At 46.3% G+C, this 25502-nt stretch overlaps 1 protein-coding gene across 11 annotated transcripts in view, besides 7 other annotated features; it reads left to right on the plus strand.

Annotated features, from left to right (window-relative positions):
- Positions 4035–4224: an enhancer, noted in NCBI's record as "active region_2166". NCBI's record gives its function as "activates an Ori minimal core promoter by ATAC-STARR-seq in GM12878 lymphoblastoid cells {active_cell/tissue: GM12878}" and the evidence as "EXISTENCE:reporter gene assay evidence [ECO:0000049][PMID:35858748]".
- MR1 (major histocompatibility complex, class I-related) overlaps positions 4259–25502 on the plus strand; it is a 28552-nt gene continuing 7308 nt past the window's right edge. Inside the window, exons 1-6 of one of the 11 annotated variants that reach the window (NM_001310213.2) lie at positions 4259–4336; positions 4759–4946; positions 7869–7984; positions 19924–20184; positions 20883–21158; positions 24445–24549. In NM_001310213.2, the coding sequence (NP_001297142.1) occupies positions 20070–20184; positions 20883–21158; positions 24445–24549 (496 nt within the window). In that variant the 5' untranslated portion in view covers positions 4259–4336; positions 4759–4946; positions 7869–7984; positions 19924–20069. Of the gene's footprint in view, positions 4337–4758; positions 4947–7868; positions 7985–19923; positions 20185–20882; positions 21549–23106; positions 23383–24444; positions 24550–25502 lie in introns of those variants that run through there. The other 10 variants (NM_001531.3, XM_047418899.1, NM_001194999.2 and 7 more) reach the window with 10 other exon arrangements.
- Positions 4425–4524: an enhancer, noted in NCBI's record as "active region_2167". NCBI's record gives its function as "activates an Ori minimal core promoter by ATAC-STARR-seq in GM12878 lymphoblastoid cells {active_cell/tissue: GM12878}" and the evidence as "EXISTENCE:reporter gene assay evidence [ECO:0000049][PMID:35858748]".
- Positions 4655–4764: an enhancer, noted in NCBI's record as "active region_2168". NCBI's record gives its function as "activates an Ori minimal core promoter by ATAC-STARR-seq in GM12878 lymphoblastoid cells {active_cell/tissue: GM12878}" and the evidence as "EXISTENCE:reporter gene assay evidence [ECO:0000049][PMID:35858748]".
- Positions 15215–15354: an enhancer, noted in NCBI's record as "active region_2169". NCBI's record gives its function as "activates an Ori minimal core promoter by ATAC-STARR-seq in GM12878 lymphoblastoid cells {active_cell/tissue: GM12878}" and the evidence as "EXISTENCE:reporter gene assay evidence [ECO:0000049][PMID:35858748]".
- Positions 15475–15714: an enhancer, noted in NCBI's record as "active region_2170". NCBI's record gives its function as "activates an Ori minimal core promoter by ATAC-STARR-seq in GM12878 lymphoblastoid cells {active_cell/tissue: GM12878}" and the evidence as "EXISTENCE:reporter gene assay evidence [ECO:0000049][PMID:35858748]".
- Positions 15766–15915: a silencer, noted in NCBI's record as "fragment chr1:181014030-181014179 (GRCh37/hg19 assembly coordinates)". NCBI's record gives its function as "represses an EF-1alpha promoter that drives an FKBP-Casp9 reporter gene in an ReSE screen in phorbol 12-myristate 13-acetate-treated (for megakaryocytic differentiation) K562 erythroleukemia cells {active_cell/tissue: K562(+PMA)}" and the evidence as "EXISTENCE:reporter gene assay evidence [ECO:0000049][PMID:32094911]".
- Positions 17033–17535: an enhancer, noted in NCBI's record as "H3K27ac-H3K4me1 hESC enhancer chr1:181015297-181015799 (GRCh37/hg19 assembly coordinates)". NCBI's record gives its function as "activates a minimal SCP1, AML or CMV promoter by ChIP-STARR-seq in primed H9 embryonic stem cells {active_cell/tissue: H9 hESC(primed)}" and the evidence as "EXISTENCE:reporter gene assay evidence [ECO:0000049][PMID:30033119]".

Here is a 25502-nt window from a genome sequence, read left to right on the forward strand (position 1 = left end):
TCTTGACAAGACGGTGGATTTGAACCACTATAGGAAGGGGAGGTATGTTCTTTACCATCCTTTATGAATGTGACTGTGTATAAGGAAAGAAAAATCAATCTGTGTTGGTAAACTGGCTCATTGCAATAATAGTACTAGTGATTGCTAATATTTACATACTATGTACCAGGCATTGTGCTAAGTGACCGATGTGGTTGGGCTGTGTACCCAACCAAATCTCATCTTGAATTCTCATGTGTTGTGGTGGGAGGGACCTGGTGGGAGGTAATTGAATAATGGAGGTAGGTCTTTCCCGTGCTGTTCTCATGATAGCGAATAAGTCTCATGAAATCTGGCAGTATTATAAGGTGGAGTTTCCCTACACAAGCTCCTGTCTGCCTGCTGCCATCCACATAAGATGTGGCTTACTCTTCCTTGCCTTCAGCCATGATTGTGAGGCCTCCCCAGCTATGTGGAACTGTAAGTCCAATAAACCTCTTTCTTTTGTAAATTGCCCAGTCTTGGGTATGTATTTGTCAGCAGTGTGAAAACAAATACAGTGACACACATGCATTATCTTCAGAAGCTCCAGAATCCCCATATGGGGCAGGTTTTAGAATGTAATTTGGTTGGACAGCAGGGCTAGGGGACTTGATGTGGCATGGGAGACCCCTGTCTTTTCTTTTTTTTTTTTTGAGATGGAGTCTCACTCTGTCGCCCATGCTAGAGTGCAGTGGTGCGATCTCTGCTCACTGCAAGCTCTGCCTCCCAGGTTCACACCATTCTCCTGCCTCAGCCTCCCGAGTAGCTGGGACTACAGGCGACCACCACCACGCCCGGCTAATTTTTTGTATTTTTAGTAGAGACGGGGTTTCACCATGTTATCCAGGCTGGTCTCGATCTCCTGACCTCATGATCTGCCCACCTTGGCCTCCCAAAGTGCTGGGATTACAGGCGTGAGCCACTGCGCCTGGCCTCTTTTCTTAAATTATAGGTTTATTTGGGATTACTTAAGACAGCTGATGGCCATTATGCGTGTGTAGTAAAAGTACTCTAATGCCCCAACAAGTGACAAGTCACTTCTTGGTTCCACCACTGCTGATTTCATTGAATCCTCACAATAATCCTGTAAGGCAGAATTGGTTATTACCTCCATTTTCTATGAGAAATCCCAGACTTAGAGAAGTTAATAATTTGGTCAAAGGTCACATAGGTAGGAAATGTCAGAGCCTCATTTGAAAATAAGTTTGACTCCTGAACCCATGTTCTTTGCTACAGTATTCTACTCCCATTTGTACAAGGACTAGCCTTGGCCAAAAATTGGCAAATGGATTTTACCTACCCACAGAAAAGGGCTCAAATCAAACTCGACACAGACACAGACACAGACACACACACACACACACACACACACACACACACTTCTACTGAATTAAAAAAGAAATAGCCAAGGGGAAACTACTGATTAAATATAATAAAATATATTATGTTGAAAACAACATTATTTAACAAACAAGACCCTTTTGCTAACTTGATAATTCATCATTTGGTTTTTAAGGATGAATTGCACTAACTGCAAATGAGTCAGATTCCTCAGAGGGGCCTTAAAATACATATAATAAATCAGGTATTAAAAAGCCAAACACATAAAGGGATTTATAATGAACAGGATAAGCACAACCCACTCTGAAAAGTGCGGCCTGAGATTTAAGTTTAGACTATTGCTCAGAGGTGAGGCTTGTTTTTCCACAAAGAGAATGCGAGGGATTCTCCCTACCTCAGTGCCTCCCAGCTTAGTGGGGCAGTCTTACCTGTCCTTGAAGATCTTGGCATAATTGAATCTATTAAAAATTTTAAGGACTATTAAAGCTATGCTATTAAAAACTGCATATTAATATTGGAAAATATAAATTTGAAAAGAATTTACAAAATACTATTAGGACGTAAAACCCTTTTTTGGTAAAATGAACAAATAAAGGTATGCTTATATGCAGACATATGTAGTCAGCAAAACCACTGAAAAGAAATACACTAAAATATGTTAACAGCAAATTTTTTCCTTTCTTCCTCCCTCCTTCTCTCTCTCCTTCCTTCCTTCCTTCCCTTCTTTCTTTCTGTTGCCATGGTTGTAGTACAGTGGCGTCTCAGCTCACTGCAGCCTTGACCTCCCTGGCTCAAGCAATCCTCCCACCTCAGCCACCTAAGTAGCTGAGACTACAGGCGCATGCACCACACCTGGCTAATTTTTTGTATTTTTAGTACAGATAGGGGTTTCACCATGTTGCCCAGGCTGGTCTTGAACTCCTGGGCTCAAGCAATTTGCCCACGTCAGCCTCCCAAAGTTGGGATTACAGGTGTGAGCCACCATGCCCGGCCAACAGCAATTTTTTCTGATGGGTGATTTTTATCTTATCACTCTCTGGGTTTTTTATATGTATTTGCCCTGTACTCTGGATTAAATTTACTAATTTGCAATTAGAATACAATGACTTAAAAAATGAAAGACATCGGTCAGGTGTGGTGGCTCACGCCTGTAATCCCAGCACTTTGGGAGGCCAAGGTGGGTGGATCCTGAGGTCAGGAGTTCAAGACCAGCCTGGCCAACATGGGAAAACCCCATCTCTACTAAAAAGACAAAAATTAGCTGGGTGTGTAATCCCAGCTACTCAGGAGGCTGAGTCAGGAGAATTGCTTGAACCTGGGAGGCGGAGGTTGCAGTGAGCCGAGATGGCACCACTGCACTTCAGCCTAGGCGACAGAGTGAGACTCTGTCTCAAAAAAAAGAAAGACATCGTTGACATACCTACATTTTTTTTTTTTTTTGAGATGGAGCCTTGCTCTGTCACCCAGGCTGGAGTGCAGTGGCACAATCTCAGCTCACTGCAACCTCTACCTCCTGGGTTCACACCATTCTCCTGCCTCAGCCTCCCGAGTAGCTGGGACTACAGGCACTCACCACCACGCCTGGCTAATTTTTTGTATTTTTAGTAGAGACAGGGTTTCACCATGTTCCAGGATGGTCTCGATCTCCTGACCTCGTGATCTGCCCGCCTCGGCCTCCCAAAGTGCTGGGATTACAGGCGTGAGCCACCGCGCCCGGCCTCATACCTACTTTTTAATGTCAGTACAGCAGGTTATGGTATGGAATGCATTTTGGAACAAGATATTAACAAAAATTCAAAGGAAAAAATACATGGCCATGGAATTCCAGTGCTGAGAGACATTTGGGAATATTGGGGGAGTTTTCCAAAAGAGAAATCCAGGTGACTGTATTTGTTAAATGAGTAACAAAAGGAAAAACAATGTAAAGAAACAGAAAGGAAAGGAAGAGAGAAATACAAAGATCTGAGAAGAGAAGGTGCCAGGGGCCGCTGAGAGATTGCCAAATGTTAATTTCATTATTTGGCTTCTTATTTTATTCTGGGTAAAGGTAGACCTATTAGTTTCCTGTTGCTGCTATAACAAATTACCACCAACTTAGTGGCCTCGAACAATGCAAATTTATTCTTTCAAAGTTCTGGAGGACAGAAGTCCAAAAATGTGTCCTATCAGCTGAAATCAAAGTGTTGTGTTCCTTCTGGAGGCTCTAAGGAGAATCTGTTCCTTCTCTTTTCTAGTTCTAGAGGCCATCTGCGTTCCTTGGCTCATGTCCTTCTTTCAGCAATGGCATCATCACTCTGACCTTTGCTTCCATTGTCACATCTCCTTGACTCTGACCCTTTTGCCTCCCTCTAATAAGGCCCCTCTGATTACACTGGGTCCACCAGATAATCCAGGATAGCTCTCTGTCTCAAGATCCTTAATTTAATCATATCTGCCAAGGGTTTTGTTTTGTTTTATTTTGTTTTTGCCATTTAAGGTAATATATCCACAGGTTCTGGCAATTAGGTTGTGGACATCTTTGGGGCGACAATTCTCAACCTACCATACAACCGGTACATAAGGTTCTACTACCTACTAAATGCATCATAAACAGAACTTCTGATCCTTCAACAACTCTGTGAAATATATGACAGGATTTGCTTTTAAAGTTGAAGAAATCAGGCCTTGGTGCAATTTGGGATTCTGCCCATGGTCAAATAGTGGGGAGGCAAACCCAGGTCCCTGAACCCAGCTCAAGCCTGCCTGCCTCATGGCCATGCCTCCATTCACCTCTCCCCTTCATGTCTACTTCCTCTTTCCTGTCTGGGCCTGTTCCCTAGCTCCCTGGACAAGCTTAAGCTGCTGTTTTCCAGCTTGTCATGTGCTCCTTATGACAGTGTAGCCACAGCTTGATCTTGGGGATTGCTGATTGAGCAAGCTGAGTGGCTGCCCCTCAGAATCTTCTGTAGGCCTTTCTCTTGCCTTCTTTTATTCAGTAAGTGTTTTGAGCTTATTGTGCTGGGTGCTAGAGTAGCAGGGAGGACAGACCTAAGTTGAAGATTACGGGACAATCTAAGTGACACCTGCTATCTCAGACAGAGACTTCAGCATCATAGGGAGCCAGAGCAGGGAGTTCCAAGCCGTGGGAACTGTGACTCTTTCTTACTGACCCTTAAGCAAAATTCTAAGCTCCAGGGAAGCAGAGGCAGCAGCTTGAGCTCCCTGATTGACCAGATATGATTAATCTTTGTTTCTCTGTGCTTTGAACATGACTATGCTCCATAAATATTTAAAAATTGGGAATAGGGTGAAGATAGATACACCAAAAGGAGCAAGCAGTGTCTGAAACCAGCAAAGACTTAAAAGTTACCGAAGAAGGTGTTCATGCTTTCATTTTATCTTTTTTTTTTAACCTAGCAACTGATGACACTGCATATCTTCCCCTGTTCTTATTGGGAGAAGGCCTTGTGTGTCACCAAGAGGTTCTCAGAAGGGACCTGTCAGTTTTTGGTTAAAAGAACCCGGAAAGAGAAGGACTATGGGGGAACTGATGGCGTTCCTGTTACCTCTCATCATTGTGTTAATGGTGAAGCACAGCGATTCCCGTGAGTATCCCACGTCCTCTTCTCTCCTAACTCCAAAGTCGAGGCAGCCTAGAAGGCACAGCTTTTCTTCCTAAAACTTGTGGTGAAAAATATAGAAGCCAGGGGCAGAAACGTGTATGTATTACACTCAGACTCCAGGAGCAATGGATTGCCTGAACAGTTTCCCAGTTCATATTTGTAGGATTTTGATGTCACCACCTTCTGAGGGAGGGGGAGCCGTTCTAGAAAGACTCTGGAACTTCCTCACTTTCCCTCTGAGCATGGCCTCCTTTCTTTTCTGCTCATATTTTTTCTTTTACTTTTGTTTCTCCTCTTTTCTAACTTCCAGAGTCTCATGAGGATGTAGTCAGAGTTTCAGGGGCATTAACAGTGGAGTAGATCCATTGTTCAGGTTTATTTATGTTTTTCCTCAACACAAGCCCTACCTGTAATAAAAGATCCAAGAAAGATAAAACCATGGCTCTGGGTTTGTTTACTGACTGTGAGAAGTATTAATCAAGTAGAAGGGAGAGTTTTTCATTATTCGGGGAGCTCAAGTCACTGGGGAAGCAAATGCCTTCTGTTGCCTCAAATAGGGGAAAGGGCCCATGGGCTAGAACCACCAGGCTTCTCTGCCCTAATCACTTGCTCCCTGGGCTGAGGACTGGTACTGGTGGGCAGTGTCCAGAACTTAGACTTGGCCACCACCATAGGTGTGACTGATGAACATGAGAGGAAGGAGTTCTTTCAAATCACCCATGCACATAGAGAGTGGAATGACTGACCATGGAGATTTGGAAGGGCGAGGGGGGTGGATGATTAGAAATTACTTAATGGGTACAATGTGTGTTACTTGGGTGATGGATACCTTAAAGCCCCAACTTGACCACTACACAATCTATGCTATAACAAAATTGCATGTGTACATCATAAATTTATACAAATAAAAAAATTTTAAATCATATGGCTGGGAGTGGTGGCTCACACCTGTAATCCTAGCACGTTGAGAGGCCGAGGCAGACGGATCGCTTGAGGTCAGGAGTTTGAAACCAGCTTGGCCATCATAGTGAAACCCCATCTCACTAAAAATACAAAAAATTAGCTCGGCACACCCATCTCTACTAAAAATACAAAAAATTAGCTGTGCACAGTGCGCACCTGTGATCCCAGCTACTCGGGAGACTGAGGCAGGAGAATCACTTGAACCCAGGAGGCGGAGGTTGCAGTGAGCCGAGATCATGCCACTGCACTCTAGCCTGGGTGACAGAGTGAGACTCCATCTCAAAAAAAAAAAATCCATATATTAATTGTTCAAATATTGATTGATGGCCTACTATGTGCCAGGCACTTTGGGGGATATGGCAGCGAACAAGACAAACATAGTCTCTGCTTCCATGAAAATTTAATCCAGAAAGTGTCATCATTTATGGGAAAGATTGGGGGTGAGGGTAAGAGGCAGAAGATGAAAGAGGAAAGGAGGAGAGAGGCAAAGGGTGATATTTTTGGAAATAATAAAGCTTATATATTACCTGCATGTGATTCTCAAAGAACTCTCCAATAATATGGAATAATATTCCTTAAACATATTATCTCCTATGACAATCTCACTGACTATTTGTAGTAGGTGAAGAAAATATCCCCATTTAAAGATGAGGCCTAGATTTTTCTCTAGGCCTAGAGAGTGACCACGCTCACATAAGGAGCAACCTGAAGGAGACTGCAGATCTTCTGGCCCTCGGTCCAGGGCTGTTCCACAATGTCATTGCTCCTTTGGGTGTGAAGACTTGTCACTTTGATAATTGGGGGGACAGGAAATAAAACAAGTAAGTTATAAAGGCAAGGGAAGGTCACTTGGTGCTGGCTGTTCTCCTTCTGACTCCTTAGAGTGCATCCTTCTCTGTTCTGTTCTGTGTCCTTGAGGCTGACTGCTAGACTGCATCACCTAGACTCTCTTGCAAGCTGATTTCTGCTTGGGTTCATACAATGGGAGACACTGAAAGGAGAGATGTCAGAGAGCAGGGAGGAAAGAGAGGCTGGGATACATCTTTCTTGCTCCTTCCCCACTTTCTGTGATGTCTTTGGCAGTAGCTATGTTCTTCTGTAATGCTGTCTTCCCTGAATAACCCCTTCTTCATGGTTCTAGCTCCCATTGGGCTTCAGTAACGGTATTTGCTATTCTTATCTCTTAAGCCCTAGGGGTGATAATGGCTTCCCATAGTTGTTAGCCTGCAGATGCCCATCATCCTTGTTTGTTCCGTTAACCTTGACCATATCTCTGCAAGGAGTCCCTTCATTAAGGTCTCCTCACATGACCCATCTGGCTTGAAGGCTGTTTCCTGCTAGGACCCTAACTGAACATTCCTGGGCTTTGAGGGATATTGGCTGGAAAAGGATATGAGATTATGAAAGAAGACTCAGTCTACTTGATATTTATGCCTAGTGCTAGCCCTGAGTGGGAGCTATATACCAGTAATAGATGGGGAAACACGGGGAAGAGATACTGCAGGGTTGTGGGTCATTACTCCAGGAAATGTCAACATAACTCCAATATCACTTTCAGTGTGTTGCTTTCATCAACTCCACAGCCTGCAGTTGACTCCTCCTTCCTTTGTGCTCCCATGGCTCCTGTTCACAGTTCTGTAATTTTCCATTTACAAAAATCTTCTCTTTGAGGCTCTCCTTAAAGACAGAAAGAGATATCTTCATTTTTTTCTTATTTCTCTGGTATACCTAGTGCCCAACAGGCACTTAGTAAATGTTTGCTGAGTGAATTTATGTTCGGAGGTAATGTCCCTAAGAAATCACAGTTATTTGACTGGGAGCCATAGAGAGCTCGGGCAGTAATAACGACTGCAAATTCAAAACTGTGGCTTACTGTAGTTGCAGGATTTGTATTAAAAAGGTGTTTCATGCTTTTACAACTCATCTTGTTCTTCATTTCAGCCTGTGTGAAACTGTGAATTGGCGATATGGGTGGGTGTAATCAGACTGGGGGCTGGCATGAGATTTCTCATGCATTGCCATATGTGATTTGTATGTTTCATCTCGACATAACCAAGGTCAGTCTCTTGATATTACTCATAATTTTATGGCTGTATAAATCTGCTATATCAATCTACTTCATGAATGGTGGAGTCCTTCACAGGCGAGGTCTGATGATGGATAAGCTCCCTAAGCTGCCAACTGGGTTACTGTTAAAAAACAGACTTGCATATTATCTGCTTAGAAGTGACCTTGAGTTCAAAGAGTTAACATGAGAAAATATGGGCTTTTTCTTTAGACTTTATTAGATAGACTTCAGTCTGTTTCCATGGAGCTGTTGCCAAGGTATATGCCATAGAAATTTCTCCAAGACAATGTTTCACTCCCCTAAGGCCCTCTTCTTAATTGGCATTGAATCTATCTAAACTTGAGAAATTCAACTAATTTGTAGATTTTTCTTTTGACTAGTTGAAATATCTGTCTATTCTCACTTGACCCCAATCCTCTTACCCCACAGTATTGCTAAGAGCTGGAGGAAAGGAGCCTAAGTTAAAGATCAAACACATGACTCTTTGAACACTTATTTTAGGGAACTCAAATTGAGAAAGATGACAAAGGATGTTTTTTCTGATGTATGAATTTATATTTATCGGGGAAAATCTTTCAAGAGTATACATATTAAGTCACATTTTGTTATAACTTCAAAGGATCATTTTAGAAAAATAAAATTTATAAAATCGGGATTTTCTGGGAAACATAAGACATATAGTCATCATTGTGTACAGAGAGTACTGAGGGAAAAAAGACACCAGAGCTCATTCATTCGTTTTCCAAAACTCCACATAGTCCTACAGGGCTCACTTTCTTACTCCATTCACATCTCTGCTCAAATGCCACCTGCTGTGGTCCCTCTATCTAAAAGATCAGGCCTTCTCCTCTCCACACTCTCTTTTCTCTGCTTTACTTTTCTTCATAATCTTTATCTCCACCTGACCTTGTATTATATATGTATTTATTGCCAATCTCCTGTCTAGAAATTATCTCACAGGGCTGGGACTTTCATGTGTTCATTGCTCTGTTTCCAGCAGCTAGGACTGTGCTTATTGGACATTCAGAAAAGAATATACCTATATGAAGTGAGACATTGGCAACCTTCAAAAGGGTAGCCTCAGAAGAGTAGCTCACAAGCCAAACTTGTCACAGTCGCCACTTTTATGCTCTAAGTTCCTGTAGTTAGTTAGACATGTCATTAGGAGAGGGGACTAATGGTTCTTGCTGCACATAGAACCATCCATGAACATGGCCTGAGATGTGTCCAAAGGTCCCCTTAACTAAAAATATTGCCACCTACTTCTCCCCTCATTCCCACGATGCTCGAAATTCTAAAGAGTCATTCCCAGGAATCATAATCATTTTGACCTTATTAAGGCATTGGACTTCTTGAGAGAGCCAATAAATAATCAGACTGTGTTGACCTGGTTATCCAATCAGGACTCACGGCCACCTGTGTGTAGGAAGGTCTGGAGCCTGTGGCCCCAGGGACTGGGAAATCAGAGGCAGTGAGTCATCCTTGACACAAGGGGGCAGGAGAGAGCAGTGATAATCCAGGGGCTAGAAGCCTGGCCTGGAAAGCTTCCCCTACACTAGGGAGGGTTGGGTAGTCTCAAGGTAGAGGGACTTCCCATGGAGAGATCACAGTGTGATTCCTGGTTCCTTCACTTATGGATTCTGAGGATGATCTTGGGCAATTAATCTCTCTGCACCTATTTTCTTTTCTTTTTTTTTGAGATGGAGTTTTGCTCTTATTGCCCAGGCTGGAGTGCAATGGCGTGATCCCGGCTCACTACAACCTCCGCCTCCTGGGTTCAAGCGATTCTCCTGCCTCAGCCTCCCAAGTAGCTGGGATTACAGGCATGCGCCACCACACCCAGCTAATTTTTTGCATTTTTAGTAGGGACAGAGTTTCTCCGTGTTGGCAAGGCTGGTCTTGAACTCCTGACCTCAGGTGATCCGCCTGCCTTGGCCCCCCAAAGTGCTGGGATTACAGGCATGAGCCACCACACCCGGCCTCTCTGCACCTATTTTCTATCTGTGGGTTGGAATTATAAGACCTACCTCAAAAGTTTGTTAGAAGAATAAGTGAAACCCATGCTTATCAAGGGCTTAAAATGGTACCTAACACAAGGTATGTGCTCAATAAACAAATACAGTTGTGATGACTATGATTAAGATGCTGCTGCCCTTTATGCCTCATTGAAGGCCCATCTGATCTGCCACCTCCTTGGAACATTTCCCAGTGGATCCCTTCTCATGGGACCACGGTCTCTCTTCTCCTAGTGGCTGGAGCACTCCATTGGTACTCTTTTCTGGCGCTTGCTGCTTGTTGCCGTGTGTGGTGGAATTCATTTATTTGTTATGTGCTTTAGCTCCCCAATAATACTGTAAGTTCCTGGAGGAAAGAGCTGGTATTTGATTTGTTCTTCTCTTCCTAACATTGCCTCCAATTCCTTGTACATAGTAGACACTAAATAAATAATTGCCCCCATGAGGCCGGGCGCGGTGGCTCACGCCTGTAATCCCAACATTTTGGGAGGCTGAGGTGGGTGGATCACCTGAGGTCATGAGTTCGAGACCAGCCTGACCAACATGGTGAAACCCTGTCTCTACTAAAAATACAAAAATTAGCTGAGTGTAGTGGTGGGCGCCTATAATCCCAACTACTCTGGAGGCTGAGGCAGGAGAATTGCTTGAACCCAGGAGGCAGAGGTTGCAGTGAGCCAAGATCATGCCACTGCACTCCAGCCTGGGTGTCAGAGCGAGACTCCATCTCAAAAAAAAAAAAAAAAGAAAAAAGAAAAGAAAAATTGCCCTCATGGATGAAGTGAAAACACTTCATCAATTATTTTACAATCCAGTGATTTTCACAGCCTTTTGTAAGAATGGCCCAACTGGTTAATGGACAGGTTAAAGGGAACATGATTTAGAACTATCAAGTAGCCATTGCACCTAGCCTAAGAGTTTTTGGTTGTGTCGTTCGGGTTCTCCAGCACTATCTGTCAGAAGCTGATGAGACTGGGCAGGAGATGCCTTTTGAGAAGTAGCTTGACTGGTTTAGACAGAATACCAAATTCTAAATTGTATATTTCAGCTTAATAAGTGAGTTGATGCTGATGATCTATCTGTTCATGGAAAGGGAGAGAGAGACTTAATTTCAAAATTATTAGGGCGAGAAAAGAGAAATGGAAGATTAGATCAAATGATATGAAATTGCCATTTTTATAGGTCAAAAATGGTAAAATATTGGCCTTTCCAAATGATTCGAAATCTGATTATGTCTGCAACAAATCCTGGTGGGATATAAATTATCACAAGTTTTAATGTACTAGGAGAGAGAGGGTACCTGGACTTTTCCTCATCTTTTCTGTTGTGAGTTACTGACTGAACATGTGTCAATCAACTTCCCACCACAGCAGAGGTAACATTTTAAAGGCCCAGCTAAGGAGCAAGCATGACTTGTTCCTGTGGAGGCACCAGATGGGTAACTGGGCCCATGGCAAATGAAGAGGAAGGGACTGTGATGTCCTGGAGCAGAGCCACGCTGGGCTGAACCAGTGGTGGATGGGTGTGACTGAAAAAGCAAGTCCAGCCTTTAGGTGCCTGGACTTTGAAGTCAAGGCTGGCTGGTGGAGAACAACTGTTTCAAAACCAGGCATCAGAATTAGATTGAAGTTAAAAAAAAAAAAAACCCAGAAAGAAAGAAAGACACAGCCAGGCACGGTGGCTCATGTCTGTAATCCCAGCACTTTGGGAGGCCAAGGCAGGGGGAATCATGAGGTAGGAGTTCAAGACCAGCCTGGCCAACGTGGTGAAACCCCATCTCTACTAAAAATAAAAAAATTAGCTGGGTGTAGTGGCAGGCGCCTGTAATCTCAGCTACTTGGGAGGCTGAGGCAGGAGAATCGCTTGAACCTGGGAGGCAGAGGTTGCAGTGAGCAGAGACTGTGCCACTGCACTCCAGCCCGGGTGACAGAGTGAGACTCTGTCTCAATAAATAAATAAATAAATAAATAAATAAATAAATAAATAAAGCACAATACTTACTTGGACAGTATTGTCAACAGACCATATTTCTCTCTATCTACCTCTTTTAACTTCAGATAATGCAAATTCTTGTGAAAATTACATTTTTATAAGAAAGCAAAGTTACATGAATTGTAAATATTATGTTTGGAGATGATGCTGGTGATACTTAACTGGAATAAATCCTGCTATTGGGCACTAATGCCCCAAGTTGTTAATACTGGAGGTTTTTTTGCTTGTTGGCATCTATCAGGAATGTAGACCTCAGAGATCATAAAAATAGAAAACCCAGATTCCAGGGGATGTTCTACACCAACCCAGCTTAGCTCAGCAACACAGCATCTTTTTTTCTTCCTTCTTTTTTCTCCTCTCCACATTCTCTGTCTGGAGTCTGCTCTCCGTGGGGATTTTTTCCCATGAAAAACTATGGAAGTGATTCCTCCCTCTTTCTTTTCCCCTCACTCCCTCAACTCCAGCCACAGGCCTTTGTGCTGCTCCTGGAATGTGCCAGGCATGTTCTTTCCAGGGGCCTTTGCATGGCCCTTCTTGTCCAGACTGCTGTCCCCAGACACCTGCCTGTCTCCCCAACTCCTTGCAGGCACTTGCTCAGAATTCAGCTTTGTGGGAAACCTTCCTTAATACGCCTTCCTTTTTTAAATAGTGTTGCCCATTCCTCTTTGCAGTTTTATTTTTCTTCACTGTACTTTAAAAAAATTATATATTTTATTTTCTAGTCTGTCTTCTCCCCTTCCCCCGACTAGGGTGTAGACTCCATGAGGGCAGACATTTTTATCTGTTTGGTCTGGTACAAGCTTAGGGCCTAGAAGAGTGGCTGGCACAGAAGAAGCATTGGATATACAAATCAATATTAAGGAAGTGTGAGAACTAATATTCACAACTTGTTCCTCCTTTTGGGTCCTCCTTCTTTAGACAGTTGTGTACCTCCAGTGTAGCCACAAAACTTTCCAGATGTGAAAAAATAGAACTATTTCAAAATCAATTGCAGAATATATATAGTACCCTTTGCAGATCCCAGATTGCAGTTCAACTCTCCATTCACCAGCCTTCCCTTGAATCAAAGATAATTTTTTTTTTTTTTTTTTTGAGATGGAGTCTCGCTCTTGTTGCCCAGGCTGGAGTGCAGTGGCGCGATCTCGGCTCACCACAACCTCCACCTCCCAGGTTCAAGCGATTCTCCTGCCTCACCTCCCTAGTAGCTGGGATTACAGGCATGCGCCACCATGCCTGGCTAATTTTATATTTTTAGTAGAGATGGGGTTTCTCCATGTTGGTCAGGCTGGTCTTGAACTCCTGACCTTAGGTGATCCACCCACCTCGGCCTCCAAAAGTGCTGGGATTAGAGGCGTGAGCCACCGCGCCCGGCCAAATCAAAAATATTTTTTAGGCCAGGTGCGGTGGCTCACGCCTGTAATCCCAGCACTTTGGGAGACCAAGGCAGGCAGATCACCTGAGGTCGGGAGTTCAAGACCAGCCTGGCCAACGTGGCAAAAACCCGTCTATACTAAAAAAAAATACAAAAATTAGCCAGGCGTGATGGTGGGCACCTGTAATCCCAGCTACTTGGGAGGCTGGGGCAGGGAGAATTGCCTGAAGCAGGGAGGCAGAGGCCGCAGTGAGCCGAGATCACGCCACTGCACTCCAACCTGGGCGACAGAATGAGACTCTGTCTCAAAAAAGATCCAGGTTAAATAGATTCATATTCATTTCAGCATATTTCATTATTCCAAACCACAGAAATAAAGTGTTTCACCAACAATTTAATTCACCCAATATTTACCAAGCTACTACCATGTGCCAAGCTCCCTGTGCTAAGCTTTGCAGGAAATACAAAGGAAAAAAGCAAAGTCCCTGTTCTTAAGTGCTTTAAGATTGAGAAGCAGGTAGAAGGTAGTAAGCAGAGGGAAACAGAAGGCAGAATCTGGTAGCTATTGGTTTTACGACAGAACTCATGCTCTGATGCAATCTCTGGCTCTTGTTTGCATAAGAACCAACACTTTTATGAAGAGGCTCTCATGACTACCCCAGAGGCTTCCACTGTCTTCCCTCCCAACCCAAGCCCTCACCCACCACAGGAAGGGAAGGGGGAAGTAAAAGGTCAAAGCAATACAGAGGGACATTGGGACCTTATGCTGCCCCAGCCTGTGGGAGGCCAGCCTCCATCCTGTTCAGTATTGCAGCTGACATGCAGGATAACACCTGTGAGGGAGGAGCCCATGGGGCGGGGATACCTACTCTGAACCCTGCCAAACTGCTACACCCCAGCTCCAGGAGCAAGGAGAAAGAAGTGCTAACAATGATTTTAATTGCTGGGCGTGGTGGCTCACATCTCTAATCCCAGCACTTTGGGAGGCCAAAGTGGGAGGATCACTTAAGGCCAGGAATTTGAGACCAGCCTGGGCAACACAGACCCTGTCTCTATTAAAAAGAAGTGGTGACGTGCTTATAATCCCAGCTACTCAGGAGGCTGAGGTGAGAGGACCACTTAAGCCCAGGAATTCAAGGCTACAGTGAGCTGTGATCATGCCGCTGCACTCCAGCTGGGCAACAGAGTAAAACCCTGTCATACACACACACACATATGCACACACATACATACACTAACTAGTACAATCAGTTGCTCTGGGAGATACCTCTCAGGGCCTCTTGTTTTTCCTAGTATGCAAGGTAAGGGTACCCTGGCCTTGGGGTGGTCAGTTCTGAAAGATAACCTGCACATTATGAGTTATTTCATAAGCAGTTTTAGAGAAAAGAAAAATATAAACAAACTTGTAGCACAGAAGCTAATCCAACTATTTTGTGAGCTGATTTTTTTTTTTTGTCTGATCTTTTTTTTTTTTTTTTTTTTGAGACAGAGTCTCACTCTGTCGCCCAGGCTGGAGTGCAGTGGCGTGATCTTGGCTCACTGCAAGCTCCGCCTCCCGGGTTCACACCATTCTCCTGCCTCAGCCTCCCAAGTAGCTGGGACTACAGGTGCCTGCCACAACGCCTGGCTAATTTTTTGTATTTTTAGTAGAGACGGGGTTTCACCATGTTAGCCAGGTTGGTCTCGATCTCCTGACCTCATGATCCGCCCGCGTCGGCCTCCCAAAGTGCTGGGATTACAGGCGTGAGCCACTGCGCCCGGCCTGATCTTTTTTCTTAACTATATGCTTATAAATGAGGAGGAAGGAATGAATATCATTAAGTGGTATTCACCCTTGCAAGATTCTCTATAGTGGCAAGGGCCAGGTTAGAAGATCTGAATGTAGGGGAGGTCCTAAAGGTGATGGCAGCAGCAGGGTGGGCAATCTGGAAAGACTGGGGAAGTGTTGTGTAGTACAGCTCTTAGACACAGGCAAGAGAAGCCCCTGGATATGGCCCCACATTCAGAGAGCCCCACTCTGGCCCTCTGCTACCCACATCCTTTCCCACAGAGCGAGGAGTGCGTGAGGCTGAGGGGAGGTGGTAACCCTGTGTCTGGGCCCCTCCACTCTAGACCAGACTCCAGGCACCCAGGAACCTGGAGTTCCCCACTCAGCTGACTCAGAGCTGCTGAGGTTTACACAACAAACTCGCACTTTGGCCCATCCTCCTAAAGGTGGACTGGCTGCCCTTGAGGGCCTTGCTAGGCCTGAGGGGTGGCCAAGAGGTGGGAGGATCACTTAAGCCCAGGACAAGCTCAGACAAGAGGCAGTTTGTGGCTGAGCCTGAATAAAAAAGTAGAGGTGTTTAATTGTGGGAGGCCCTTGGCAGTGCTGGAAGGAGCAAGAAACAGGAAGAAAAAGAGGTGAGTCTCAGGCTGAGGGCCGGGGACTGGAGGGAGACACCAGCTTTCTCTGTGCCGCCCCATTCAGGCCCAGAACTTCACACAGTGTGAGATTTTTTAATTTGAACTTGGTCTTCGAAGCCATACAAAGGGCAATCTCTCAAGGTGGGGGGATAGAACATATTTCAAGTTTGTTAGATTGATTTATTCCTTTTAAATATCTGGATCTCTGGTATGTGAGCCTCCATCTGTCATCTCAATTTAGCCATGAAATTTTAGGGATGATCCTGTTTTAGGGATGAAATGTTTTTGGAGGTGGGTTTTGAGGACTGGGAAGGATTTAGATGGGTCAGAATGGCAGGAGATAACAGGACAAAAGGCTTGGACATGGGCATCTGCAGACACCGGCAGGCAGAGTAGGGGAAGAAAGCCATTGTGGCTGCATACCTTCTATTTGCCAGCTTTTGGGGATGGCATGGGGTACGTAGCCTTCTCAGCCTGGGCTCCACCTCCCAGGCATCGCCTCTGCCCGTGACGCCTGTCACTGTGCTCCAGACGTCCCAGGCCATTTGGTTCCCATGCACGCCCCGCCTTCTCGAACCTCCTGCTTGCACATGTGGTCTCTGCCCTGCTCCCCCTGCCCGCCCTCCTGCATCCCCTCCCAGCCCCTCTGCCTACTCACCTCCTACCTGTCCCTGAGACCTCCCTAAGACATCACCTTCTCTGGAAGTCTCTCCTAAGGGCCCACACCAGCTTGGATCCCATAACACTGAGAGGTGACAGCGTGCTGGCAGTCCTCACAGCCCTAGCTCGCTCTTGGCGCCTCCGCTGCCTGGGCTCCCACTTTGGCGGCACTTGAGGAGCCCTTCAGCCCACCGCTGCACTGTGGGAGCCCCTTTCTGGGCTGGCCAAAGCCGGAGCCCGCTCCCGCAGCTTGCAGGGAGGTGTGGAGGGAGAGGCGCGAGCGGGAACCCGGGCTGCGGGCGGCGCTTGCGGGCCAGCTGGAGTTCCAAGTGGGCGTGGGCTTGGCGGGCCCTGCACTGGGGGCAGCCGGCCCTGCCGGCCCGGGCAATGAGGGGCTTAGCACCCGGGCCAGCGGCTGCGGAGGGTGTACTGGGTCCCCCAGAAGTGCCAGCCCACCAGCGCTGCAGCTCGATTTCTCGCCGGGCCTTAGCTGCCTTCCTGCGGGGCAGGGCTTGGGGACCTGCAGCCCGCCATGCCTGAGCCTCCCACCCCCTCCATGGGCCTCTGTGCGGCCCGAGCCTCCCCGATGAGCGCCACCCCTGCTCCACGGCGCCAGTCCCATGACCACCCAAGGGCTGAGGAGTGCGGGCGCACGGCGCGGGAATGGCAGGCAGCTCCACCTGCAGCCCCAGTGGGGGATCCACTGGGTGAAGCCAGCTGGGCTCCTGAGTCTGGTGGGGACGTGGAGAACCTTTATGTCTAGCTAAGGGATTGTAAATACACCAATCGGCACTCTGTATCTAGCTCAAGGTTTGTAAACACCAATCAGCACCCTGTGTCTAGCTCAGGGTTTGTGACTGCACCAATCGACACTCTGCATCTAGCTACTCTGGTGGGGACTTGGAGAACCTTTGTGTGGACACTGTATCTAGCTAATCTGGTGGGGACGTGGAGAACCTTTGTGTCTAGCTGAGGGATGGTAAACGCACCAATCAGTGCCCTGTCAAAACAGACCACTGGGCTCTACCAATCAGCAGGATGTGGGTGGGGCCAGATAAGAGAATAAAAGCAGGCTGCCCGAGCCAGCAGTGGCAACCGTCTCGGGTCCGCTTCCACACTGTGGAAGCTTTGTTGTTTCGCTCTTTGCAATAAATCCTGCTGCTGCTCACTCTTTGGGTCCACACTGCCTTTATGAGCTGTGACACTCATGGCGAAGGTCTGCAGCTTCACTCCTGAAGCCAGCGAGACCACGAGCCCACCAGGAGGAACGAACAACTCCAGACGCACCGCCTTTAGAGCTGTAACACTCACTGCGAAGGTCTGCAGCTTCACTCCTGAGCCAGCGAGAGCACCAACCCAACAGAAAGAAGAAACTCCAAACACATCCGAACATCAGAAGGAAAAAACTCCAGACGCGCCACCTTAAGAGCTGTAACACTCACCGCGAGGGTCCACGGCTTCATTCTTGAAGTCAGTGACACCAAGAACCCACCAATTGCGGACACACCACCACCCATAATGCCACCTTGAAACCACTTTGTCTCCGTCAGGCCCTAAGCTTCTTGGACAAGCGGAGAGAAGTTCAATGTGGGAACAGCAGGGAGGGCCAAACAGTTTTGTTTCATTTTGGTTTACTTTTAACCCTTATTACAATCCTTATAACTAGTAAGTAGAAAAAGAATAAGAAAATGGTTAACAGCAGTGGTTTGACATAATAGGAAAAGCACTGTGCTTTAAAAAAAAAAAAAATTTCGGCCGGCCATGGTGGCTCACACCTGTAATCCCAGCAATTTGGGAGGCCGAGGTGGGCAGATCATGAGGTCAGGAATTCGAGACCAGCCTGACTAACATGGCAAAACCCTGTTTTTACTAAAAATACAAAAATTAGCCAGGCATGCTGGCACATACCTGTAATCTCAGCTACTCAGTAGGCTGAGGCAGGAGAATCACTTGAACCCAGGAGGCAGAGGTTGCAGTGAGCCAAGGTCACGCCACTGCACTCCAGCCTGGGCAACAGAGTGAGACTCTGTCTCAAAAAAATAAATAAATAGGCTGGGCACGGTGGTTCACGCCCATAATCCCAGCACTTTGGGAGGCCAAGGCAGGCGGATCACGAGGTCAGGAGTTTGAGACCAGCCTGGTCAATATGGTGAAACCCCATCTCTACTTTAAAAATATACAAAAATTAGCTGGGCATGGTGGCACGCGCCTGTAGTCCCAGCTACTCAGGAGGCTGAGGCAGGAGAATCACTTGAACCCAGAAGGCAGAGGTTGTAGTAAGCCAAGATCATGCCACTGCACTCCAGCCTGGGCGACAGAGTGAGACTCTGTCTCTAAAAAATAAAAAATAAAAAATAAATAAAATAAATAGGCCAGGCGCGGTGGCTCACGCCTGTAATCCCAGCACTTTGGGAGGCCGAGGTGGGTGGATCACGAGGTCAGGAGTACAAGACCAGCCTGGGCAAGATGGTGAAACCCTGTCTCTACTAAAAATACAAAAAAATTAGCCAGGCGTGGTGACCAGTGCCTGTTATCCCAGCTATTTTGGAGGCTGGGGCAGAGAATTGCTTGAACCCGGTAGGCGGAGGTTGCAGTGAGCCGAGTTTGTGCCACTGCACTCCAGCCTGGGCAACAGAGCAAGACTCCATCTCAAAAAAATAAATAAAATAAAATAAATAAATAAATTTCGGCCAGGCGCAGTGGCTCATGCCTATAATCCCAGCACTTTGGGAGGCCGAGGTGTGCAGATCATGAGGTCAGGAGTTTGAGACCAGCCTGGCCAACATGATGAAACACTGACTCTACTAAAACTACAAAAAATTAGCCAGGCGTGGTGGTGTGTGCCTGTAATCTCAGCTACCTGGGAGGCTGGAGCAGGACAATCACTTGAACCCAGGAGGCGGAGGTTGCAGTGAACAGAGATCGTGCCATTGCACTCCAGCCTGGGCAACAGAGCAAGACTCCATCTCAAAAAAAAAAAAATGCTCAGTGCATGTGTTTGTGTGCCTGTGTGTATATGCCCACACGTGCACACACAGAGGTGGAGTGGGGGTCCTCATTTATTCACCAGAGGCTTCTTTGGTAAAAGAAGAAGGCTGCGTCATCAGGGTTTTCAAGCCTTCAGAGTTCCCGAGGGCTCCCGCAGGGACAGCTCCCCCTGTATCCCCAATGAGTGGTCTTCTCCCTTCCCCCTACAACCATAGCAGCACTCTATATTTTGTCTACAAGTTGAGATTACCTATAAAATTCCATCCTGCATTTGCAAACCTGAACGAGAAAGGCTCCAAGTCACTGGTCTGGAGCTCTTACGTCCTGTCCAGGCCCCGGTTCCTGGGTTCTGTGGTTCTGTAAGAGGAAATGGCAGCTGGGGCGTGGAGGCCTGGGTACAGCTGAGTAGGGAGCACTCGTGTGGGGCTAAATGAATGCAGTTGAAGGATCTGGATCATCTGGGACCCTACATGTCTTCCTTCTTTGCCTCCTTTCCAGGGACGCACTCTCTGAGATATTTTCGCCTGGGCGTTTCGGATCCCATCCATGGGGTCCCTGAATTTATTTCGGTTGGGTACGTGGACTCGCACCCTATCACCACATATGACAGTGTCACTCGGCAGAAGGAGCCACGGGCCCCATGGATGGCAGAGAACCTCGCGCCTGATCACTGGGAGAGGTACACTCAGCTGCTGAGGGGCTGGCAGCAGATGTTCAAGGTGGAACTGAAGCGCCTACAGAGGCACTACAATCACTCAGGTGTGCATGCGGCAGAGACAGACGCTTCCCCCATCCCACCCCAACCCGCAGAGACCCCTGGGCTGGCCTCCAATAAGCGGATGCTGAATTGCACCTGCTGTAGCTTTGGCAAAGCCTGAGGAATCAGGTTGGTGGAGTTCAGGGCCTCCCATCTGCCTGTGCATCTTCTGGACTGTCCCTCTCTCCCCCAGGAGCACTCTGTCATTTGCCCCACCCACTCTTCCCCATCTCTGTATCCGTATCTGCATCCCATTTCCACTCAGGCTTCTGATATGCATCTCCTTTTCCATTCTAAATTTGCCCATTCTGCGTCTCACTTCCTGGTAGTCAGGCCTAGTGACTTGCTTATGAGTATCGACAGTAACTTTCCCAGGGGTATTTCTGGCTCCTGCATCTCTCTCCCTCCTCCACTGCAGTCAGAATAGCCACAAAGTTTATCAGTCATTCCCATTACAGGATAACTCCCCAAGGCGGGAATTAGCACACTCCTTTGACAGGCAGTAGGTACTTCACAGATACCTGCTGACAGGTGGGCTTCCATAAGGGGGACCTCCTGGGGACTCAGCGATGCCATGGCAGGCCTGGGGGGTGACATAATGTAGACCAAAGGATGCTTCCAGCCATGCCCCTGCTCCCAGCACTTGAGAGCCCACCTCTGTCTCTGTGTGGACCCCTCTGGGCTTCTGTGTGTGTTCCAGGGTCTCACACTTACCAGAGAATGATTGGCTGTGAGCTGCTGGAGGATGGAAGCACCACAGGATTTCTGCAGTATGCATATGACGGGCAGGATTTCCTGATCTTCAATAAAGACACCCTCTCCTGGCTGGCTGTAGATAATGTGGCTCACACCATCAAGCAGGCATGGGAGGCCAATCAGCATGAGTTGCTGTATCAAAAGAATTGGCTGGAAGAAGAATGTATTGCCTGGCTAAAGAGATTCCTGGAGTATGGGAAAGACACCCTACAAAGAACAGGTAAAGAGAAAGAGAAGGCCTCATTCCCACATTGCCTGAACAACTGTTTTTATACGTAACTCTTTTAATCTAGGTTATATCCACTGTATCCTGAAAGCCATCTCTTTAGTTGGCCTATTGTGATCTCATGGCTAGAGCCCCCACGAAAACTTTCCCTGGTTACTTTTGAGCAGCATCTTGACAAGATTTGACAGTTCCCCTTGTCTTGACAGAGTGGAGTACCTCCAAGGGCACCTTGTTTTTAGGGATCTATTGAGGCAAATTCTTCCATTCCGTCAATGATAAGCTGGGAAATTCTTTGGGAGATAGAGCAATTCTTACAAACTGTTTAGTTAACAAAGGGCTCACACACCACCAGTAGGAGTAAAAATCTGGATTTACCAAGACAAACAGAAGGTCTCTGCTTTACTAAAGGATTAATGAGGTTGGGCATGATGGCTCATGCCTGTAATCCTAGCACTTTGGGAGGCTGAGGCAGGAGGATTGCTTAAGGCCAGGAGTTTAAGACTGGCCTGGGTAACATTGTGAGACCCTGTCTCTATTAAAAAAAAAATTAGCTGAGCATGGTGGCACATGACTGTAGTCCCAGATACTCAGGAGGCTGAGGTGGGAGGATCTCTTGAGCCTGGAAGGTCAAGGCTGCAGTGAGCCATGATCATGATCAGCCTGGGTCACAGAGCAAGACCCTATTTAAAAAAAAAAAAAAGTATTAATGATAAGATTCCTTTCAGCAAAGAGCTCCTCTTATACCTTAAAGATATGATTCAGTTGGTCAACTTTTAGTTCATATAGAACTTTTCATGTATGGTCTTGTTATTCAAAATTAATCACACCTGTATGATGCTACAGGAAACTCCTAGATACAATGTGTGTGGGAAGAGTATGGGAAGCTCCCCTCTCCAGGCCTCTGTCTACATTCAGTGTCCTAATGGATTTTCAACCTTTTGGTCAAAACACACTCCTAAAAAAACAAACAAAAAAAAAAAAGAAAAGAAAAAACACATTCCTAGAAAAGGATCTTGGATTAATTTCTTACAGGCCCTATCAAAAAGCACAGTCCCTCCTAGTAGCATTTATTTTACTTTTAATGTTGGAAAGCCTTTTTCTACTACCAAATATCATGCCTCGGTAAAGAGACAAGGAAAGCATTGTTGGAGTGAAGGCTCTTCTCCGTATTGGGTTGGCCGATGATAAGGTGGGGGTCAGGAGGCAAGTCAGAGATGAGCAGGAAGCAGTCCCCCCCAGATAGTGCCTTTGGTCTCGGTATGGCTGTTTGACCCAATTTCAGCAAGAAACATTAAGGACAGGACTGTATGGAAAATTAAGAGTAGTCATGAGGAAGCAAGGTCACACGTGGGTACTTCTTTGGTGTCACTGCTGGAGCCCTTCTATGATATCAGTTTCTTCGAAGGCACAACCATGGCATGATCTACTACATATGTTTGTACCTGATGGCAGTCATCAAAATGCCAGCGCAAGTACACAAGGCAATTCGGAGCCAAAACTGAGTGGGGATGGCTGTGTTATTTACGTGCACTAAACACAGAAATGAGAACAAGGAGTTCTAATCTCCAATCTATTGCTGACTTACTTATTGGGAACAGTCACTTACACATTTTATGGGTCAGTTTTCCTTGACACATAAAGGTATTTCAAAGGTTACTAGTAAACAACCCCAGCACACTTTCCAAACAGTCAAAGCTGTATGACTTTCCCCCCTTAGAGGATGGAGCATGGGCCAACTCCACATTCTTCACTACCTAGCACCTTGCCATCATGGAAGGTATACGTAAATACGTTTGTTGTTGATGAACCTGAGTTCTGGGTCATTCTTAGCTTTAGAAGTTTCCTGCAATAAAGAAAAATTAGGAAAGCCAGTTGCCAAGTTCTAATATTATATGCTCAGTACATAAGGCACTTTGATTTAACTTTAGCTTCTTCTTCCTAGAGCCCCCACTGGTCAGAGTAAATCGCAAAGAAACTTTTCCAGGGGTTACAGCTCTCTTCTGCAAAGCTCATGGCTTTTACCCCCCAGAAATTTACATGACATGGATGAAAAACGGGGAAGAAATTGTCCAAGAAATTGATTATGGAGACATTCTTCCCAGTGGGGATGGAACCTATCAGGCGTGGGCATCAATTGAGCTTGATCCTCAGAGCAGCAACCTTTACTCCTGTCATGTGGAGCACTGCGGTGTCCACATGGTTCTTCAGGTCCCCCAGGGTAAGGACGGGGATCGTGGCTGTCTAGGGAGAGAGCCTGGAGAAAGGGGTGAGCAGGAAACCATGCTCGCTGCCAGGGAGGGGAGGATAGATCACTGCCTCACTCAGTGTGCCTTAGAATGGGTCTTTTAAATAAGTGGTTCTCACACTTTTTGGAACCAGGACGCCTTCATACTATTAAAAAATTATTGAGGACCCCAGAGAGCTTTTGCTGATGTGGGTTATATCTATTGCTATTTACTACATTACAAATTAAAAATTTAAAAATTAAACACGAATGGGTGCAGTGGCTCATGCCTGTAATCCCAGCACTTTGGGAGGCTGAGGCAGGTGGATCACTTGAGGTCAGGAGTTCGAGACCAGCCTGGCCAACATGGTGAAACCCCATCTCTACTAAAAATACAAAAATTAGCCAGGCATGGTGGCGCATGCCTGTAATCCCAGCTCCTGGAGGCTGAGGCAGGAGAATCGCTTGAACCTGGGAGGTGGAGGTTGCAGTGAGCCGAGATCGCACCACTACACTCCAGCCTGTGCGAAGGGAGCAAGACTCCCTCTCAAAAAAACAAAAAAACAAAAAACAAAAAAACACAACCCAGGCGCAGTGGCTCACTCCTGTAATGCCAGTACTTTGGGAGGCTGACGCGAGTGAACTGCTTGAGCCCAGGAGTTCAAGACCAGCCTGGGCAACATACTGAGATCTCATCTCTACAAAAAACACAACAATTAGCTGGGCATGATGGCATGCGCCTGTAGTCCCAGCTACTGAGGAGGCTAAGGTGGGAGGATCGCTTGAGCCCAGGAGGTTGAGGCTGCAGTGAGCTATAATGGCACCACTGCACTTCCACCTGGACGACAGAGTGAGACGCTGTCTCAAAAAAAAAAAAAAAATTAAACACAAGAAAACACAAGCAGATATTCCATTAGTGGTCAGATTGATGAGTGAGAAGCAACAGTAAGGAAAATGGTGTTGGGTTTCCTGATGATCACAGGGACAAAAGTCCCAGAAAGTTAACACAGAAGGGAAAGGGGACTTGTGGATTTTTTCTCATTTGCTTGCTTTCAGAATCAGAAACTATCCCTCTTGTGATGAAAGCTGTCTCTGGGTCCATTGTCCTTGTCATTGTGCTGGCTGGAGTTGGTGTTCTAGTCTGGAGAAGAAGGCCCCGAGGTGAGAGGCACATGGAAGGGATCCAGGGGGCTGCAGACTCTCCTGCATCTCTCCAGTTTTATTTTCTGCACCTGCTGCTCCCTCCTCCATTCAGAAATGGCTTGGCTCTCAGGCTGGGATCACAGAAGGACCTGGGACAACCCTCCCACCATGTAGGGGACACAAAGCATGGATAAAGCTTACAGGGAGAGTGGTCTCTTTTCATAGGTGATGCCTGACATCAACAAACTAGTACATCTGTCCAGGGGAACTGTCCCCCTAGAAGTTGGGTCAGAGAAGATATGGGGATCTTGATTTGTCTTTTTCCAAACCATCTTTTTATTATTAATTACTATTGACTTCTGGGGCAGTGTCCTTTGTTTCAAGACTTCAGTCAGTTTTCCCATTTTGACCACCATTCTTTCATCCCAAGCATATGAAAGTCCTTTTCCTTGTAAATTCATTATTCAAAACATTAAATATGTAAGAGTAGATACCTTCAGGGAATGGGACTTAGAGTAAGGAAAAGGGGAGGAGAAGTAGGAGATATATAGGCTCTTGATAATGTGGAATAACATAAATTCATTCAGTAAGTATACATTAATGACCTACTGTGCTCCAGGCACTGTACTGGTTGCTGGGATATAACAATGAACAAGACAGATACGATCCCTGTTTTCATAGAGCTTACAATAGAGCCTGGTAAGGTTATCTCCTGGCTCTGGCTTCACTAATTGCTCAAATTGATCACAGGATAGTACCGATGAGACCATGCTTTGAACCCAAAGTGGACCAGAAGTTTGGTTTTCCTTCATAGACATAGACCTCAACTCCAATTCAGGTGATAACTGTACAAAAGCATGTTGTTAGATCAAAGTAAAACCAACCCTTTTACTAGAAAATCAGCTCAGAGGCCGGGCGTGGTGGCTTACAACTTGTAATCCCAGCACTTTGAGAGGCCGAGGCAGGCGGAT

This window comes from Homo sapiens, chromosome 1, assembly GCF_000001405.40.
Source record: "Homo sapiens chromosome 1, GRCh38.p14 Primary Assembly".
NCBI classification, from domain to species: Eukaryota; Metazoa; Chordata; class Mammalia; order Primates; family Hominidae; genus Homo; species Homo sapiens.